Source organism: Homo sapiens, chromosome 16 (assembly GCF_000001405.40).
Source record: "Homo sapiens chromosome 16, GRCh38.p14 Primary Assembly".
NCBI lineage: Eukaryota > Metazoa > Chordata > Mammalia > Primates > Hominidae > Homo > Homo sapiens.
Genome location: NC_000016.10, coordinates 20,307,852 through 20,327,995, shown reverse-complemented (window position 1 = coordinate 20,327,995; position 20,144 = coordinate 20,307,852). Strand labels below are relative to the sequence as shown.

Sequence of the window (20,144 nt, the reverse complement as noted above, 5' to 3'; positions counted from 1 at the left end):
TCAGTGGCCTTCAGACAGAAGCAGAAATGTTCCAAGATGATTAGCTAGGAACACAAGGTACAACTGAAAATCCATTGTGCAAACAAGTGCCTGTTTGATTTTCTCTTCACTTCCCTTTGGGTATTAAGCTTCCTTTCAATTCGTGTTTGGTTTCTGGTAATAAATATGGCACCAGTTTCATTGATTAATTATGAAGATTAAATGTGAGAAGTCAAGAACGCAAAGCAGTGCCCAGCATGTTCAGCATTCAGCACACAGCACTATTGTTTGTAGGAAGCATTCGCACAATGCTGAGACAGCTGGAAGGGTTGACATTGTGAGGGGAGGGCCCTTCTTTCACCATCCTTTGCGTAAATGGCTTATCTCACCTCCACTCAACAAGCCCAGTGTATGGCCTAGAACTCCCATCATACCTGTGCACCAATTGAGGAGAGACACATGGGTGGGAAATTGCAATAAAAAGACGGCCCACAGCAGGCTGCATTCCCATGGCTGGCCAGAGGAGGAACGCTTTGTGTTCTCATCGGAGGTAAGTCCTGCTTTAAGCCCCAGGAGGCTTCCTCCTAATCCTGGGAAATCTTGATCCACTGGACATGCTAGGATTCTTTGTTTCTGGAAATTTTTAGAACCCAGCAAGTAGTTTGGACCCTGGCCATTGTCAAGTGCTCCAGGTACCACTCTATGTCCAACTCAGTCATGCTTCCAGTCATCTGCGATGCTCCAGGCCTACGGACGCCACCCTCTTCCTTGTCCCAGATATTCCCACCAGGGAACTAGGTCTCTATTGGGATCTCATCTCTAAGAATCACCAATCCTGGGTGCTTCCCTATCCCTGCTGTCTCATAGCATACTCATGGTATCCCTGCCCGAAACCGATCTCTATTTTCCACTGAAGTCTTCCAGAGGTTGTAGGAAGTTATCCAAAGATTTGGCCATTTAGGGAAAGTATTTCCCAGAAAAGTAAATGCCATCCAAATGCTGGCAGGCTTTTTTGCAGCTCTTTCTTTCTGCCTCGCCACCGCCCCCAACCCCCATTGATTTATTTATTCATCCTTAATCCTCTACTGAGTACTCCTTGTGTGCCAGATTCTGTACTAGGAGCAAGGAACATGAGGCTCGGTTTGGCATGGTTCCACAGTCACAGAAATCTACATCCATAGAGGACATTTCAGGGGGCTCTTAGCAGCACCCAATGCATAAAACTAAGAAAGGGCAGCCATTACTTTTGTGTGCAGGTATTCACAGGTACCATATCCCTTTTTCTCTATCCAATCTCCAAAGAGCCTCTACTTCCACCTGAGCAGGGACCATCCTGAGACCTTTCTAGGACATTCTGCAGTACTAGCCAGCTCTAAGCTTGCCTTTGGTTTGCTTACTGTCAATTTTATCACCCATTATCTCGCTCTATCTGTCCATAAGTCACACCTACTTTGAAACAATGCAGCTCTTTATGAAGGAAGTCAACGGATCTGTTTCTAAGAACATAGACCTATGCCCTAATCTTATCTTGGTCTTTTCTTTCCCATAGCTGCATGGGAAGTCTGCATACAGCAAAGTGACCTGCATGCCTCACCTTATGGAAAGGATGGTGGGCTCTGGCCTCCTGTGGCTGGCCTTGGTCTCCTGCATTCTGACCCAGGCATCTGCAGTGCAGCGAGGTAAGTATTCTGCTCACCTGGCATCTCAGATGTCAAGGAAGACCTAGCAAGTGAGGATAGAAGTGCAGAGAAGGTGGCTCAGGTAAGGAAGAGGAATTGGCAGTTCTAAAGCAAAAACTCAGAGCTAGAAGTCAAGGGAAACATAATGAGAAACAATGGAAATCAAGTCACAATCTCTCAAAGAGCCTAATCAGAAATTCCTCTGAAAGGGCAGTGGGAGCCAGTTAACATAATTTCCCATGCCCATATCTTTGGGAGATTAGAGACCCCAGATTAAAGAAGATCAAGAAATACATAACTCAGTCACCTTGTGCTGGCAAGTGCCTTCTCCTTTTCCTGAAAGGGCTAGATTAAGTGATCTCTTTATGAAGTGGGCAATTCAGATACTTGCAGAAAGGAGTCTCAGGCTTAGAATTAGAGTGCAAATTTCAGCCCCTGGAGGAGGGTGGGAGAGGGTACTGAGCTCATTGGAGGCCTCCAGTGGAAAAATACAATCTAAGAATAACAAATGCAGTGATTCCTTGTCTTAAAATAAGTACATGCATGAGCAAAGTTTGAAAATCTTTTTTTCTGAAAGGCCCTTCTAATGTGTATTATAAGCATGTGCAAAGCTTGAAAATCTCTTTTTTTTAGAAAGCCCCTTTAATGTGTATTGTAAGCACATGATCCTGTGTGTGCACTTAGCTCCTTCTTCAGGCATCTACAGCATTCAACAAAATAGAACTAGAGAAGACAATTAGCTTGACCCTGGTGCTGTGCTTGGCATTTTACACATATTATCACATTTAATCCTCTAACAATCGTTTAAGGCTTTCTTTCCCCAAATGAGGTGTATATATTCCAAGATGGTTCTGGGGGTGCCTGGCAAACTCTTAACAAGTTTTTAATGGCTGTATGTTTATTTTTTATGCACATCTAAAAAATATAACTAGCACATGATATCTATGTTATCACAGATATTATTCTTTAAGATGAAACTAATTCTTAAAAGATAATCATTGAAAGAAACATTTTAAGTCAATAATAGGACAGGCAAACACATGTATGACAAAGGTCATGACCCAAAGCGTAGGAACGGATAAAGTTTGAGAACCACTGGTTCACAGGTGTGGTTTTGCCAATGAGTCTCAGGGGACTTAAGTCACCTGCCAAGGTCACCCAGCCAGCAGGTGTAGAATTGGATTTAAACTCAGCCTGACCAGCCTGTGGTCTTCCTCCTTCACTTCTCTGCCTCTTCATACATCACAGTTTCTAAAACTGTTTTTAAAAATGGTAGATCAACAATCAGAAATGGTCTTGTTAGATCAGTGGTTCTCAACTGGGGGCGATGCCCCCCAAGAAGACATTTGGCAATGCCTGGAGACCACTTTGGGGCATGCTGGTGGGATCTGGTAGGTAGAGGTCAAGGATACTCCTAAACATTCTATAATGCACAGGATGGCTCCTCCAGTGAAGAATGACCTAGCCAAAATGTCAATAGTGCCAAGGTTGGGAGTTCTTGCAATAGACTGTGCTACTGGTATGGAAAAATGTCTATGTTATATTAAGTAAAAAATGCAAGTGGAAAAAAAGATGTTGCACAGAATTAAACTTATTTTTATTTTTAAGAAAGCAATATATTTTAAACTTGCCTAAGAAGAAGGCTATATTACAAATTTATTGTTACTTCTGGGGATGAGATGGGCTTATGACAACTTTCATTTCTGCTTTATTAATTTTAATGATGTTTGAGGTTCTTTTTCAGTGAGCCTGTATTACATTTATAATGAGAAAAACAAATATTGGTCAAACAAGGCTGCTGTTTGCATGATGCACAGGAAAGAACTTTGTTACTCTGAGGCAGGGAGGGAGGCTGTGCAGGACGGTAGCCCTGATGTCCTCAATGCCTGTAAAATACCACAGAAGGTCCTCACTGATTATTCTGCCCCCAAGGTGATGAAGTTGATGTTTAATTAATGGACCGTGTGTGTATTGTCCTCATTGGAGTCCTTAGCACAGCCAAAATAGAGCATGGAGGGGAAAAAATCCTGTAGGTTCTGGCATTGCTCAGTAAACCCAACTGCACTCTGTCACTTTCCCAGGTTATGGAAACCCCATTGAAGCCAGTTCGTATGGGCTGGACCTGGACTGCGGAGCTCCTGGCACCCCAGAGGCTCATGTCTGTTTTGACCCCTGTCAGAATTACACCCTCCTGGATGAACCCTTCCGAAGCACAGAGAACTCAGCAGGGTCCCAGGGGTGCGATAAAAACATGAGCGGCTGGTACCGCTTTGTAGGGGAAGGAGGAGTAAGGATGTCGGAGACCTGTGTCCAGGTGCACCGATGCCAGACAGACGCTCCCATGTGGCTGAATGGGACCCACCCTGCCCTTGGGGATGGCATCACCAACCACACTGCCTGTGCCCATTGGAGTGGCAACTGCTGTTTCTGGAAAACAGAGGTGCTGGTGAAGGCCTGCCCAGGCGGGTACCATGTGTACCGGTTGGAAGGCACTCCCTGGTGTAATCTGAGATACTGCACAGGTGAGCAGCAGAGCCCTGGAGGAGGCAGCTACACAGCCAATGAGATGCCTCCCAGGCTCAGTAGAGTGAGTGGAGCAAGTCAAGAGGAGACAGGAGAGGATGCAGAGCAGCCTCGACTCAGCTCCTGCCCAGTGAGAACTCAACACAGGGGTTGAGACCTTCCAACATTTCAAGCCAGAAATTCCCATTCAAGGGTGAAATTTCCCAGTTTATAAATGTGTGTAGCATAAAATCCAGAACTCATGCTCGTTCCGATTTTGGCTCCATTTGAGAAGTTTAATTTGCCTCCCTGAGCCTCAGTGTTCTGATCTGAAAAAAAGGGGGGGGGGGTACAGCAAAAATAACAGCTAATACATAATGCTCACAATGTCCTTGTTGCTATCCTAAGTACTTCAAATGTATTAACTCATTTGATCCTCTCCCCAGTTCCACGAGGTAAGTGCTACCTAATTACCCCAGTTAGGGGCACAGAGAGATTAAGGGGCTCTCCTAGTATCACAGAGCTGGAGCATGGTACAGCTGGGATTTGAACTTGGCATTCTAGCTCCAGCATCCATGGCCTTAACCACCATGCTGTCCTTTCTCATTTTGATTGAATAGGCTAATACATTCCTTGTCCTTAGAATAGAGTCTTGCCTGTAGTAAGTGTTCAGGTGGCAGCTTTAGGGCTCTCACTTATCCCATTGGACTGGGAGTCAGGCTTGATGCTTCCACTAAGTATCACACAACCTTGGCAAGATTCTTGTGCCCCGGTGAAATGAAAGGGTTGGACTTGGGGGCCTCAAGTCCAGCCCGCACTGCATCCTGATCTTCTCTCTCCATGCCCCATCACCTAGACCCATCCACTGTGGAGGACAAGTGTGAGAAGGCCTGCCGCCCCGAGGAGGAGTGCCTTGCCCTCAACAGCACCTGGGGCTGTTTCTGCAGACAGGACCTCAATAGTTCTGGTGAGCTGCTCACTGGGCAAGTAACTACCATCCTGAGGGGGCAGGGCAGGAGGGAGGGAGCTTTAGAGGGTCAAGATAAGGTATAAAGCAGAGTCAGGGGCATGGACCTGAGGTCAAGGGAATGTGGGCTCTCCAATCCATTTGCTGTAAAGCCAGTGGGTTTGCAAGGATAGGAGGGCAGGGTTGGAGCAAATTTCCAGGTCAGCTGCTGGGCCGTGGCCTCAGGAAATGGTTCTGACATGGGCAGGCTTGACCCCTGAGGGATGAAGACACTGAAGATGATAATTCTGCTAATGTAGGAGCTATGTTTTCATAGCCACAGGGTCTTCATGTCAGGGACATGGGCAGACTTCTGGGGACAAGTCACTACTGTCTCTGAGCCTGAATATCCTCATCTGTAAAATGAGGATAAGGTAATAATAATACCCACCATACAGGGCTATTGTGAGAACTAAATCAGAGCAGTCCAATTGGGCAGGCTCAGGAGGTGATGAATTTCTCGTCCCAGGAGGTAAGCAAGCAGAGTGAGATGTCCCATGGGTAGGGATGTCATAGACAAACAAGCACTAAGCCCTGGACAGGGGATGGATGAGCCTCCCACTGAGATTATTTCCCTCCATCACTGAACTCTAACAAGGGCCTTTGATCTTGCCTTTGGCACAAGCATGCCTTCCTCTGAGCACACTACAAGTCCCTATGGAAGAGAGAGTGTTCTAGGCAGCAGGACAAGAAGGAGCATGACACATTTGGAAAACGGAGCCACAGTGTGAACAGGGCGATGCTTAGATGTGCCCAGCAGAAGCACCCTGGGAAATGAGGGGTAGGGAACAACCAACAACCTTGATCTCCTTGAAGACTCTTTCTGCTCATTGAGTGGATAAGGCCCCAGAGATTCAGTGTGGTTTTCTGGGGTTTGGGCCCATCACAGAGTCAGATTTTGGGCTTTAAGGAGGCCCTCCCTGTACCTGGATGGGCTCCAAGGACAGTCTCAGCTGACTGAGTGAGCAGGTGGCCTGCCTCAAGTCTTCATCAGTGGCCAGCACAATGATGAGTGTCCAGTGGGCCCCATTGCTTGCAGACACATCCCTCTGTGCTCTGACTTTCACTTCCATCTCCTTCTCCCACACCCTGCTCTCATTTTAGGTTCCTGCGCCTCTGAACTCTGAAATTCCACAAATGCACCATTCCCTCTATCCCATCTCCATGCTTTTGCCTCTCCTGTTCCCTTAGCCTGGGATGCGTTCACTTGCTTTACTGACTTGCAAAACTCCTACCCACGTTTCAAATTTCATACCACTGTGAATCCTTCCCTGACTTCACCAAGAGACTCAGATAGACCTTCTTCTCTGCTCCCCCTGCATCTGTACATACTTCTGTCTGTATCTTTATCATATTGAAGTATAATAAACTGTTGATATGTTGGTGTTTACACAAGACCAAGAAATCCTCATGGGCCAAGTCCATGCCTTATTTACTTCATGTTGAATGCACCTAGCATTTGAGAAGGTGGTTGGTAAAGTGGCTCATGCCTGTAATCCCAACAGTTTGGGAGGCTGAGGCCGGCAGATCGCTTGAGGTCAGGAGTTTGAAACCAGCCTGGCCAATATGGCAAAACCCCATCTTTATAAAAATACAGAAATTAGCCAGGTGTGGTGGCTCATGCCTGTAATCCCATGCCTGTAATCCCAGCCTTGGGAGGCTGAGGCAGGAGAATCACTTGAATCCAGGAGGCAGAGGTTGCAGTGAACTGAGATTGGACCACTGCACTCCAGCCTGGGCAACACAGCAAAACTCTGTCTAAAAAAAAAAAAAAAAAAGAGAGACAGAGAGAGAGATAATGTGGTTGGTAAATATATATTGAATCAATGCATTAATGAATGCAATAGAAACTGTCTTCCTATTAGTTTACTATTTGTCTCCCCTATTCAACTGTTAGCTCTATAAGAGTGGGAATTTTTTCAGTTTTGATAAGTGTTGTAGCCCCAGTGCCTGGCAGATAGTAGATTCTCAAGAAGTTGTGTGTTGAATAAATGTTGAGTTAAAATATGATAGCTCTGAACTTGGTCAGATGTGCTGACTCAACAAGGTAGCATATATCTAACTTTGATTCTAGTATGGAATGCAAGTCCATCCTGCCTCCCCAAATAACACAATCCCCAAGAGGAACTAGACTAAAAAACCTTAGCAAGCCTGCACATAGGACACTTGGAAATCTTGAATGAGGGGCCCCCTTTGCCAGTCCCACCTACTGCCAGCCTAGGCATGAATTCCATCTGGATCCCAGGGACCTTCTAGTCTACATAATCTTCTGGGTCATGGAGATGTTACCAAAGAGTAGGGAAAGTGGGCTTCCAGACTCATGTCCATTCTACTTGCCTTCATCTCTGCTTTGCAGATGTCCACAGTTTGCAGCCTCAGCTAGACTGTGGGCCCAGGGAGATCAAGGTGAAGGTGGACAAATGTTTGCTGGGAGGCCTGGGTTTGGGGGAGGAGGTCATTGCCTACCTGCGAGACCCAAACTGCAGCAGCATCTTGCAGACAGAGGAGAGGAACTGGGTATCTGTGACCAGCCCCGTCCAGGCTAGTGCCTGCAGGAACATTCTGGAGGTAAGTGGCTTTCACACCACTGCTGCCAGAAGGTATGTGTTGGGCTGATGGGACCTATCATAGTAGCTCTGAGATCTTGGACAAGCCACTTAGCTTCCCTGAGCCCCCAGGGTTGTGTGAGAGTGCACAAGTTGGTTTACATAAAGAGCTTAGTATAAGTCTGACATGTGAGTTTCATAAACGTAAGCTACAATTACGATAATTTCAATTAGGGATGGTGGGGGAGGGATGCACAGAGAAGCAAGCTTGTTGGTTCCTGACTCTTCCCAAGGGTCAATAATTTATCGTTCTAGTTTTTTGCCTGGTTTCCTCATTCGCCTTCCCATAAAGTGTCAGTAACACTGAAGGAAGAGGTCCCTTGACCTCCATGAGCTCAGAAGGTAGGGTGGCTGCATGGTTAAGCAAATTGACTCTGGAAATCAGATCTGGATTTGAGATACACCTACATACACATACACATAAACATCTGTATGGTTTTGTTTTTTTGCCAAAGAGAAATCAAACCCATGCCATCTACAAAAACACCCTCTCCTTGGTCAATGATTTCATCATCAGAGACACCATCCTCAACATCAACTTCCAATGTGCCTACCCACTGGACATGAAAGTCAGCCTCCAAGCTGCCTTGCAGCCCATTGTAAGGTATGGCATTGACCCTTGCCCTTTGACCCATAACCCTGGCAATAGTCACATCACACTTACTTCAAGTGCAGACTATGATGTCCACACCATACTGCCAGCCTCCTCCAGGAGCCTCCAGTCATTCAGTCATTCATTCCACAAGTATTCATTGATTGTATATTAAAGATGTTCAGCATGAACAAGGCAGACATAGACTATTCCGTGGCTATTAAAGATTGTTATAACTAGGCAATGCAGCAACATGAAACAGTGCTTACTAAATGTGCTAGAAAACAAAAACACAGGACAAGTTCAAAGTTCATTCACCTTGAGGAACAAAGGTATTAAACAACTAATTAAACCAATAATTACTTATAAGCAAGATGAGTACAATGTAAAAGAAATGTGGGGTGCTTTGGGAGCAGGGAACAGGGGTTCCAGACCCCTGTTGGTGGTGGGTTTGATGGGGACAGAACAGCTTCCCTGCAGACGTGAGATTTAAGCAGAGACCAGCTTTTATCGGATAAACAGGCACCCCCGTCCCCAGCAGAAATAGCATCAGATAGCAATTTGGGCAGGGGCTTTTCTCTGTTTTGTTGTGTTTCTGTGCTGAAATGGGGCCCTGTTGAATCAGTTCCTTAGCATCCCTAGACTTGCTAGGGGACTTTCTGAGATGTCAAAAATCCAGAGTGCCCGTCTCATTCCCTATTGCTCCCTGGGATCACAAAGCAACAGGATCAGAAGGATTAGACATTTTCTAATTCAGTGGTTTCCAGATGGTTTGGTGCTGGGGCTCCTGGTTCATAAAAAATCAAAATGAAAGCCATTTATCTTGTTAAAATTGGTGTTTCACTGAAGACTGTGGAATGCAGGGAAGAGATCTGTTGCTAAAAAATGTGAACACACAGAACTGGTTCTCAGCCCCACTCTGCAGGTGAGAAGATGGAGGTATACACTCAGTTATTCCTTCAGCAAGGGAGATATGTGTAACCTGTCCTGCAGGGAGGATCGGTGGAAATCCCAGAGACAGACTTGTCTGTCAAGTTTAGTGCCTAGAAGCTAATAAATGCTCAGTTTAAACGACTGATTGACTAGTTCACTTAAGGATCCAAGATGTGTGTCCTTGCCTTCGTAAGTGTGTTAAGTAAGTGCAGGGCTTGATTTATGTTGTTCTCTGAGGTTTCCACTCTTGTGGCTTTCTTTTTCTCAGTTCCCTGAACGTCAGTGTGGACGGGAATGGAGAGTTCATTGTCAGGATGGCCCTCTTCCAAGACCAGAACTACACGAATCCTTACGAAGGGGATGCAGTTGAACTGTCTGTTGAGTCCGTGCTGTATGTGGGTGCCATCTTGGAACAAGGGGACACCTCCCGGTTTAACCTGGTGTTGAGGAACTGCTATGCCACCCCCACTGAAGACAAGGCTGACCTTGTGAAGTATTTCATCATCAGAAACAGGTAACGAGCAATTCTGGAATTATCATTTGGCCTTACTAACGTTTACAGGAAAGTGTTCATCTCATCCATCCCCAGCAGACGTGTAAGTTGTACTACATATCATAACCACAATCTTTGACCCAGAAATATCACTCCTGAGATTTTAGCCTAAAATATTAATACTAAACAGGTGGGCAGGGTAAATAAATGTCAATATTTTCCATTTCAATATCGTTGATAACTTTGGCAACAGGCTGATTGTTCAAAAATAGGGAATCAATTTGGTAGTGATGGATTATTACACAGAAGTGAACACTGGTCAATATGAAAACAATATGATAAATGTTGTGGGGTGAAATATCATTAAACATGCCCGGCTGACAAAAACAAGGGAAAAATGCATTTCTATAGATCATGATTTAAATTATAGTAATAATCCTAGCTAATATTTGTCATTGAGCTATGGCACATTAGCTATGTGCCAAGCAATATGTGGATTATCTGATTAAATGCTCACATCAGTCTCATAAAGTGTATATTACTGTCTCCACTTTACAGATAAGAAAAGTAAGGTTCAGTAAGGATGAGTAACCTGCCCATAATCACTTAGCTAGAACGTGGGTCAGGCTACAGTATAAAACCAGTCTGTTTCACTCCAGAGACTGTGCCCTCAAATAATTTAAGCCATGTGCGCTTATGGATAACATCTTGGAGGAAACAGAGGAACAGAAAAAGTCCACGTTATCATGATGGAGGGAACCCGAGGGACTCTTTAATTTTCTCCACTGCTGTTTTTAGAAGTTACACCTTTGCCCCTGTCACCCTCCCAGCTGCTCAAATCAACGTGATTCCACCATCCACGTGGAGGAGAATGGGCAGTCCTCGGAAAGCCGGTTCTCAGTTCAGATGTTCATGTTTGCTGGACATTATGACCTAGTTTTCCTGCATTGTGAGATTCATCTCTGTGATTCTCTTAATGAACAGTGCCAGCCTGTGAGTGTCTCTTTGAACTGAACTCTTCAGAGCCTGGCATGGAGCCTGGTACCTGATAGGCTTTCCATATATATTTATTGGAATTATAAACGCAGGGAGGGTGGGAGGGAGGGGAAAGGGAGGGACAGGAAGAGAAGGGAAAGGGGAAGGGGAAAGAGAACGGGAAGGGAAGGGAAGGATGGACAGAAGGGAAGGGAATGGGAAGGTGAAGGGGAAGAGGAAAGGGAAAGGGAAGATTAGGGAAGGGGACGAGGAAGGAGAAGGAGGGAGGGAAGGGAAGGGAGGGGAAAGGGAAGAGAGAGGGAGAAAGGAATACAGGAGGGATGGAGAAAGGAATACAGGAGTGATGGAGGAGGAAAGGAGGGACAGGGAAGGAGAGAAGGAAGGAAGCAGGATGAAGAGACGGAACGAGATAGGTAGGTGTATGGATGGGAGGGAGGGAAAAACGAACAATAAATAGATAGACTCTAGATCTCCTAAAGGCCCATATCTAAGCAATTTTTGTGTCCCCAGGAGGCAGATTTGATAAAGAAATCTGTCTACTAGATTCCATTGGCATCTTTTAAATGATTATAATCATAGATGACTTTTTTAGTGCTTGCACTTTGTCAAGCACTATGCTAAAACTTCTGCATACATTTTTTAATGTAAGTCTCAGAACAACCCTGTAAGTAGATTATTTTGCCTACTCCACTGTGAGGTTCAGAGAAGTCCTTGCCCACAGGGCCACACACAATTAGAAAATATCAGAGCCAGGGTGTGCCCCAGCCGAGAGGTGGCTCCAGTGCCCCTGCTCTTGCCTGCATTTGGAACTGCCTGTGAATAGTTGGCATTTTCCGAGTGCTTACTTTGTGCCCATGTGTTGCAGACACATCTCATTTTCATCTTCACAACCAGGTAGGTATTATTTAGTTATTGTAGAAAGGCAAAGTCATTGGCCCCAAATTATATAGCTAAAAGAAAGTCTCTACTTGATGAGATTCAAACCCAGATTTGTTTGGCATGACAGTGATAATTTTCTAGATTGAGATAACCACAGCATCGGAATTAGGGCCATAGCGTGAACCAGTTCTGGACACAGTTCTTGGTCCAGAGCTGCCCATTGTAGGAGCAGTCTAGATAGAATCCAGGCATTTAAATTTTGATATAATAAAAGTTCATCATCCCTACAGTCTTGCTCAAGAAGTCAAGTCCGCAGTGAAGTACCGGCCATCGACCTAGCCCGGGTTCTAGATTTGGGGCCCATCACTCGGAGAGGTAAGTGGCCAAATCCCAGTGACAAGACCAGCTGGCTGAGTGTTGACAGTTAACCACAGATGCCTGGGGTCACCAACTCAACTTCTCAGGGCTCTTGTACCACCTCAGTCTGACCCTTACTGAAAAACCTATTCTTTGAGATGCTTTGGGTAATAATGACAATATTGTCATTTGGACCTCCTGTGTGCTTAGAGACCAGGCTAAGCTCTTGCATCCATCAATTCACTTAATCCTCCCATGCCTATGTCCATTTTACAGGTGAGAAACTAAGACTCAGAGAGATTAAGTGACTCGCCCAAGATCCCCCTACTCATGAGTGGCTAGAGTTAGGATTGAACCCAGCTCAGTCTGATTCCAAAACATGTGGCCTTTTCCTTATTCCACCTGCTTCCAGGTCCCCATAATTCAGTTCCTTATGGGTGAGGCGTAAGTCCTAAATCCCGTCTAAATGCAACTTTGTTTTCTGGTGAATGACTGTTTTCCAAAATTCATTTACAGTATTCTGGAGTATAATATAGGGGAGGCTTTCCAATGACTCCTCATATTTTCATCCATCCTACTCATGGGTTTACAGTAGTGTTTAGTTAGTGTTTTTATTTCCACCAGGATGGAGAAGTGAAAGAATGAAAGCCTTTTTTTTCCCCTAAAGGAATTAAGATGCAGTAATGTTGGTAATAATAATACTTTCTTTGTGCCTGGCACTTTGTCAAATGCCTTTATATGCATGATCACTTTGAAGGCTCACAGCAGGTGAGGGAGGTAAGCATTATCACCATTTCCATTCTCCAGAGCAAATGGAGGCTGTCTCATGAAGTAGGCTCTGCCCTGAGTTTTCCTACCATTTCACTGAGCTCTCAACTTGAAGCCTCAGGTGGCATCACAGGGTAACTTGGTGGAGGTTAGGAACTTCCACTTTTGAATCAGACATACTGGGGTTTGAATCCCAGCTCTGCTACTGACTGGCAAGGTCAACTTGGCAAGTCCCTTAACATCACTGAGCTCCAGTCTTCTCATCTGTCAAATGGGGATGAGAATACTTTCCTCACAAATCTGTTAGGAGGATTAAGTCTAAGATGCACGCAAAGTGTCTAGAAAGGTGCCTGTGCCAGATTCTAGATGCCCCCACAATGTGGCCACAAACTTGCTGGTGGTTGCGATGGCCAGGTCTAGGAGGATGTGAAGCAGTTATGGCCACAGTGTTGCAGTCACTGGAGCATGACTGAGGAAACCCACCCCTTCTGTTCTTGTTCACAGGTGCACAGTCTCCCGGTGTCATGAATGGAACCCCTAGCACTGCAGGTACATCATTTTCTCATGCCTTTCCCACAGCTTTCCCAACTCTCCTTTCTCTTTTCAATTCTGCCCCTTTTATGGCCCAGACCCTATGCTAGGGACACTGACATTAATCAGACCTAAGATTGGCCTTTGAGATGCCCACAGTATAGTGGAGGAGGTAGTCCTTTAACAAGAAATATATACTGAGTGCCCACTGTGTGCCAGGCCTTCTTCTAGGCACTGAAGATGTGATGGCAAACAAAACAGCCCAGGTGCCTACCCTCATAGAGCTTATGCACCAGTGTGGAAAGTAGAAAATAAAAAAGTAAACATGGTACTTTAGAAATAAAAGAAAGTGATGTGATAGATAATGCCTTAAAAAAAAAAGAAATTCATTTCTTTTTTTTTCAAACTCAAGAACTTTTTTTTTTTTTTAATTCATTTTACTTTAAGTTCTGGGATACATGAGCAGAACGTGCAGGTTTGTTACATAGGTATATATGTGCCATGGTGGTTTGCTGCACCCACCAACCTGTCATCTAGGTTTTAAGTCCCGCATGCATTAGGTATTTGTCCTAATGCTCTCCCTCCCCTTGCCCCCCATCCCCTGGAAGGCCCTGGTGTGTGATGTTCCCCTCCCTGTGTCCATGTGTTCTCATTGTATAGACATTCATTTCTGTCACACATAAATGAAGCTTAGAGGCAAGCTGTCCAAGGCTAGCGGGGCAGCACCATAAAGCTGTCAAAGACCCAGGCTCCTTCCAACTCATGCCTCCACCATCTTTGAGGTGTGGCCATCATCTTCATGTTCCAAGATGGCAGCCAGAGCTCCAACCTTTGTATCCAGGCAGCAGGATGGAGGGAACAAGGAAGAAGCCAATGAGTGTTAAAAGACATTCCCGAAAGCTGGCACCTTATATCTCCACTTACATCTCATTGGCCAGTGCTTGGTCACATGCCACACATTGCTGTGAAGAAAGCTAGGAAATGTAATCTTTACTCTGGGTGGGCCATGTGCCTAACCAATGTTTGATGGCTTTATTAGCAAGGTAGGAAGGAAGAATGACTATCAGAATGGATAAGTGGTCAGAAAAACTTTCAGAGTAAGTGATGTTGAAGCCAATTGAGAAAAATGAGTCGGAGGTGCAAATGTTAGGGGAATGAGCCCCATATGCATGGGAACATCAATAATTCATTGCACAAGTGAGACAGACACTTGAGCAAATAAATGACAAGCAAGTAGATAGTACAGAAAGAGTACATAAAAGGCTAAATAACTGTATTGGATAAGGTCTGGAAAGAATTTCACCAGGTAGTAACATCTGAATGGGGTTTTGATGAATGACTTGGAGCTAAACAAGCTAACTAATAAAAGAAATATCACACTCACACACACACACGCAGAGAGAGAGAGAGAGACAGAGAGACAGAGAGAGAGAGAGAACATTTTTACATTTTTTTACATATTTATAGGGTACTAGAAATATGTCTTGGACAAAATGGAAAGCACATACTATTAAGATTTGCTTTCCCACAAAATGACTTATATTGGTGAACCCAAACATGAAAAGGTTCTTTCCATCCTCAAAGCCCAAACTTAGATGGCAGTTTTTAAATTTCCCAAATAAGTCCAAGATGGACTCTCTATGTTCCGTGCTAGCATTCAGAAAATGCTAAGAAAAGTCACGCTCATTGAGAGGAGTGGTTAGAGCTCATTCTAAAAGCAGCTTAGGCCAGGTGCGGTGGCTCATGCTTGTAATCCCAGCACTTTGGGAGGCCAAGACAGGCAGACCACCTGACGTCAGGAGTTCGAGACCAGCCTGACCAACATGGAGAAACCCTGACTCTACTAAAAATACAAAATTAGATGGGCATGGTGGTGCATGCCTGTAATCCCAGCTACTTGGGAGGCTGAAGCAGGAGAATCACTTGAACCCGGGAGGAGGAGGTTTCGGTGAGCTGAGATTGCACCATTGCATTCCAGCCTGGGCAACAAAAGCAAAACTCCATCAAAAAAAAAAAAAGCAGCTTGAAGTCAAGAACCTCAAGTCTCATTCCTTTCTGCCAGTCCTTCTGGTTAGCCCAGTGCCTGGAACAGTGTGGTTTCCCAGTAGAGTTTGCCAAATTGACTAATTTCTAGAATGGGTGGTAGATTTTGGACGCTTCTGGACAAGGAGGGGATCAGTCTGATGTTGAGACAGCCTACCCACTACAAGAGGGCACTTGTGGTTTTCATTGTCTGCTATCACAATCATCTTTGATGTTTTAGAATTAATTGAACATCAACCTGTTTTTATAATTATAACTTTTTGTCATGTACTGTTCTGAAATTTATGATATTTCTCTCCTCACTTCTAGGACATCAGCCAGTTACTTTGAAATTGGGGTAATGGGGAGATTTTACAATTTGGTAGTATGGCAGGAAGGCTCACATATTTCTCCTAGGCCCTCTGATACAAGACCATTATCATCTGGGATCCACGTCCTTCACTGAAACTGAGTACACAGTGATGTGCCAAAGAGATACAATCCCAGCAGAACTAGATCTTAGAGTCTAGCTTTTAAAACCAACATTTATATAGTGTTTACCATGTGCCAGGCAATGGTCTCAATGCTTAATATGAACTCACTCATTTAAGCCTTACAAAAATCCAGTGAAGTCACAGCTGCTATTAATATTTCTCTTTGGCATACAGGAAAATACAGGCAGAGAGGTTTAATAACTTTTCTGGGACTGCCCAGCTAGGTGTAGAGCTGAGATTCTAAGCTAAGTAATCAGGCATCAGAGGCAGTGCTTTTTAACCTCTGTGTCTTTCTGCCCCTTCAGTATTAGTCAGCATAAATAATGCTAGCTGCTGTAACAAACAGTCCCCAGTCTTCTGTGTCTTTAGACGACAGTATTGTTTCCCACTAAATCACTGGGGGAGGGGATGCAGTTCTGCTCCATGTAGTCGTTAGGAGCTCAGGCTTCTACTACCTTCTGGTAACTTCTGGTAACTCCACTATCCCCTGCAAGTCCTATCTTGGATCCTCTGCATCTGCTCCCTAGATGGTTGATGAGAGAGCAACAGGATATATAGGAGGCTTTAAGGATCAGACCTAGAAATGGCACAGATGACTTCTATGCACATTTTATTGACCAGATTCGGTCACATGGCCCCACCTAGTTGCAAAGGACACTGGGAAAAATTGCATTCCTGTGTGTCCAGAGGAAAATGAAAAAAATGGTTGGTGATTAGATTGCCTCTACCATGTGAGTCCCAGAGACTATAACTAGGCCAGATATCAAAGATGCTTTGCCTTTCTCATCCTTGTGTTGTGAAAGACAAAGAGGCCAACTTATGTTTGCTCCTGACTCCCAAAGCCCAACACTTGACAGTCATATTTCTTGTATTTCAGGGTTCCTGGTGGCCTGGCCTATGGTCCTCCTGACTGTCCTCCTGGCTTGGCTGTTCTGAGAGCTCCGCTGAGCATCTGGCCTTGAAGTTTGTGTTCTTCCCTCTGGCAATGGCTCCCTTCAGCACTTCTGCTTTCCACTCCAATTCACACAGGCTTGGTATTAATAGAATCAAGGCCAAGCTAGGTTAGGAAAAGGGAAGAGCTTTCACCTTCTTTAAAACTCTCGGCTGGGCGCAGTGGCTCATGCCTGTAATCCCAGCATTTTGGGAGGCTGAGGCAGGTGGATCACCTGAGGTCAGCAGTTCAAAATCAGCCTGGCCAAAATGCTGAAACTCCGTCTCTACTAAAAATACAAAAATTAGCCAGGCATGGTGGCAGGCGCCTGTAATCCCAGCTACTCGGGAGGCCAAGGCAGGAGAATTGCTCGAACTCAGGGGGTGGAGGTTGCAGTGAGTTGAGATTGTGCCATTGCACTCCAGCCTGGGCAACAGAGCAAGACTCTGTCTCAGGAAAAAAAAAAAAAAAAAAGAAAAGCAACATAGTGGGGTTTCTGTCAATCTGTCCTCGGCTGCCCTTCTCATTTGTTGATGGGACCTTGAAAGCAAGCTTGCTAGGTGCCCTCTGTGGCTCCAGCCTTTACCGGAAGTGTGGTGCATGTTTTTAACTTCAGGGAAGCGGTATCCTGTCACTGGGGTATGGGATGAGCATGGAGAAGAGGCACCAGCCACGATTCCTTCCTAAGCATCTCCTGTTCTGACTGCTCATGAATTGAAGAAACTGACCCTTGTGTTCACTCTGCTTCCTCTGATTGTTTCTATCATGGTTTCCAAAAATTGCCATGGGAACATGTCAAAGGGCCACTTTTGGAGACTCTGCTCCAGGAAGAACTAGTCCCCATAGCTCCCCTATCCCCCACCATACCACAGACATGCTGTGACTTAGAGAACTACACAAACATCCTTGGGACCTAGATGCTGGAGGAATGACTTAATTTGATGCAGAAACTCCATCACCCAAGGGAGTACCTCTCACTGTAAACAGTGCTGTGCTTGCTCTGAAGGATTAAGCAAGAAGTCCCAACAGAAGCAATGCACCAGTCCTGCTATGGGAATGAAACTGCAAAGCCTAGGAGATGGGTGAAGTCCCTTTCTGGAGACCTTTAATGAGTACTTCAAAGCACCCGACACAGATGCAGCAAATAGGGCATCACACATACACAGGCATTAATACTCACGGGCATATAGATGCTGACATGTGTACACTGACTTACGCCCTTCCCACAGCTACAGATAAGGCCTCGCAAAGTTGGCCTCAGAGACACATCAGGAACCAAGGTGGACCAGCAGGTGCCGAGCCTGTGTATCTGCTTGGAGGAGACGTTCCAATGTGCTGCCTTGTTCAGAGATGGTGTAGTTGCAAGAAACAGAAACCCACCACAATTTCTCAGGCAAAAAGGGAGTTAATTATAAGGACATAAGAGCACAAAGTTCCAGTGCAAGAGATACATCCAGGCTGCACAAGCTCCGGGAGTGGGGCCTGGCAAGCCAAAAGAAACCAAAGTTTGTCTTGCCTTCTGTTCCTCTTTCTGAAGCCACATAGCCTTTTATGACTGTGTATTTTTGCATCGCTTTTGTTTTCTTTTTATGTCTCTGAAGCCAGCTTTTCCTGTTCACTCATCCCTTGATTAAATATGGACATTCTAGCTTCACATCACTTCCTAATTCAGGGACCAACAGAGACTGGTTAGCATGTTGCTATCCCACCTCCAAATTGCATCAGGGAATTTGATTTTGCTGCTTGGGTCAGGGTCCAGTAGTCTGGGCCAGGGGACTGGGACCATCTAGCACATAGCCAAAGGGGCTGACCTAATGGGGCAGGTCTGACACAAATGGGGTCATTTCTTGGACAGACATCCCAAGGGCCACTATGATAGTGGCTTCTCTAAAAGACGGGTTCCTGAGAAGAATTGCATTCTGTTTCCCAGTGAGTTAGCGGAGTCATACTTACTACATCCCAAGGCAGGTGGCATGGTAGAAACAGGCCTGAAAGAGAGGTCAGGTTCTAACCTTCTCCCCTCTCTGAGGCTCAGCTGCTCCCTTCTGTAGAATAAAAGGGGTTGGTCTGTAACAAGATTTTCAAAAATTTATAGTAGTGAAACTTTACAATTCGACTTGGACAACCAGAGATTAAAAGCAAATAGATTCTTGTTGATGTCAGGTGGGGAGCTTAGCTCTCCCATTCTGTGATTCCTTCCTCTGAAGGCCCTCAAAGCAACTCCATAATAACTCACAGAGCTGCCAGAGCCGATGTTTTGGAGCACCCTGAGACATATGAACTCTAATATAACTTCCAGGAGAAAGTACATAGGATTCCACTTAGAGCCAATCTCAGCTGTCTATCTGTCTAGCTACCTGTCATCTATCTATCCATGTATCTATCTATGTATCTATCTATGTATGTATGTATCTATCTATCTATCATCATCTACCTCCTATCTACCTATCGTCTACATACCTCCCTACTCAATTATCATCTAGCTAGCTAGCTATTTACACCTTTTTGTTTTCTACAAATGGGCATGTTGTCTGAATAACAATCTCTGAATGTCCAGTCCACTTCATTCATTCATTCAGTCAACACAAATTTGCTTAGCAGTTTTTATGTCCCGGGTCCAAGGGCCTGGGTACAATAATTAATTAGACACAATCCCTTCCCTAGGAATGTTCCCAATCCTGGCAGAACACAAACTCACATAGAGGCACTCACAGGCAAACCACAAACACACATGCCCACTTAGCCCCCCACACAGGCCTGTATACCCAGAGGCGTCTATCCACACCAACACACACATTCTAACAGACACACATATCAACCTCACGTGCCCAAAGGCACAGATGCACATGCAGAAAGCCTCAGAGACCCTCAAGTCAGCCACTTACATATTTATTGTCATGAATTACTTTGTAACAACCAATATTTTTTAACACCCCCTACGTATAAGGCATTATTTTAAGTGCATTTTGGGCATTATATCATTCCACCCTCACATTAGACATTGAAGGTAGCCACTATTATTACCTTCAATTTAGTGACGAGTAAACCGGTGCTTTAAAAAGATAATTACTCAAAGGCCTATAGCTTTTAAATGCTGATTTCAGGGCTTGAACCCAGGTAGCCAGACGTTGAAGCAAATGCTCTAAACTAGACTCTGTATCCTGCCTCCATTTATATATAACACTTAACACACACACACACATAAACACACACACACACAGTGCGGCACCCATATACACACAAACGTATATGTGTATAACATATATGCACCCACTTGCAAACAGGTATGTGGACAGACACATGCATTTTCCAGCAAAGGCCCTCACACATACACAGGCATTAATAGTCATGGGCGTATAGATGTTGAGATGTGTGC

The 20,144-nt window shown here is 44.9% G+C and overlaps 1 protein-coding gene across 4 annotated transcripts; it reads left to right on the top strand.

Annotated features, from left to right (window-relative positions):
* The first annotated feature begins 482 nt into the window (after positions 1 to 482).
* Positions 483 to 18,422, top strand: GP2 (glycoprotein 2). Of its 4 annotated transcripts, NM_001007240.3 has the most exons (12): positions 483 to 529; positions 1,529 to 1,658; positions 3,740 to 4,180; positions 4,607 to 4,615; positions 5,017 to 5,127; positions 7,523 to 7,734; positions 8,228 to 8,376; positions 9,566 to 9,811; positions 10,621 to 10,783; positions 11,956 to 12,040; positions 13,295 to 13,339; positions 16,715 to 18,422. In NM_001007240.3, the coding sequence occupies exons 2-12, from the start codon at positions 1,565 to 1,567 to the stop codon at positions 16,771 to 16,773; spliced, it is 1,614 nt and encodes a 537-aa protein (NP_001007241.2). In that variant the 5' UTR covers positions 483 to 529; positions 1,529 to 1,564; the 3' UTR covers positions 16,774 to 18,422. The 4 variants fall into 4 exon arrangements, with proteins under 4 accessions (NP_001007241.2, NP_001007242.2, NP_001493.2 ...); NM_001007241.3 differs by lacking the exon at positions 3,740 to 4,180; NM_001502.4 differs by lacking the exon at positions 4,607 to 4,615.
* The last annotated feature ends 1,722 nt before the right edge of the window (positions 18,423 to 20,144 follow it).

What these genes read in the sequence shown, in the direction of transcription:
- GP2 (NM_001007240.3), top strand. Translation starts at nt 1,565, where the DNA reads ATGCCTCACCTTATGGAAAGGATGGTGGGCTCTGGCCTCCTGTGGCTG. An exon ending in GGCATCTGCAGTGCAGCGAG is followed by an intron (nt 1,659 to 3,739) that starts GTAAGTATTCTG and finishes TCACTTTCCCAG; the next exon opens with GTTATGGAAACCCCATTGAA. An exon ending in GCCTTGCAGCCCATTGTAAG is followed by an intron (nt 8,377 to 9,565) that starts GTATGGCATTGA and finishes TCTTTTTCTCAG; the next exon opens with TTCCCTGAACGTCAGTGTGG.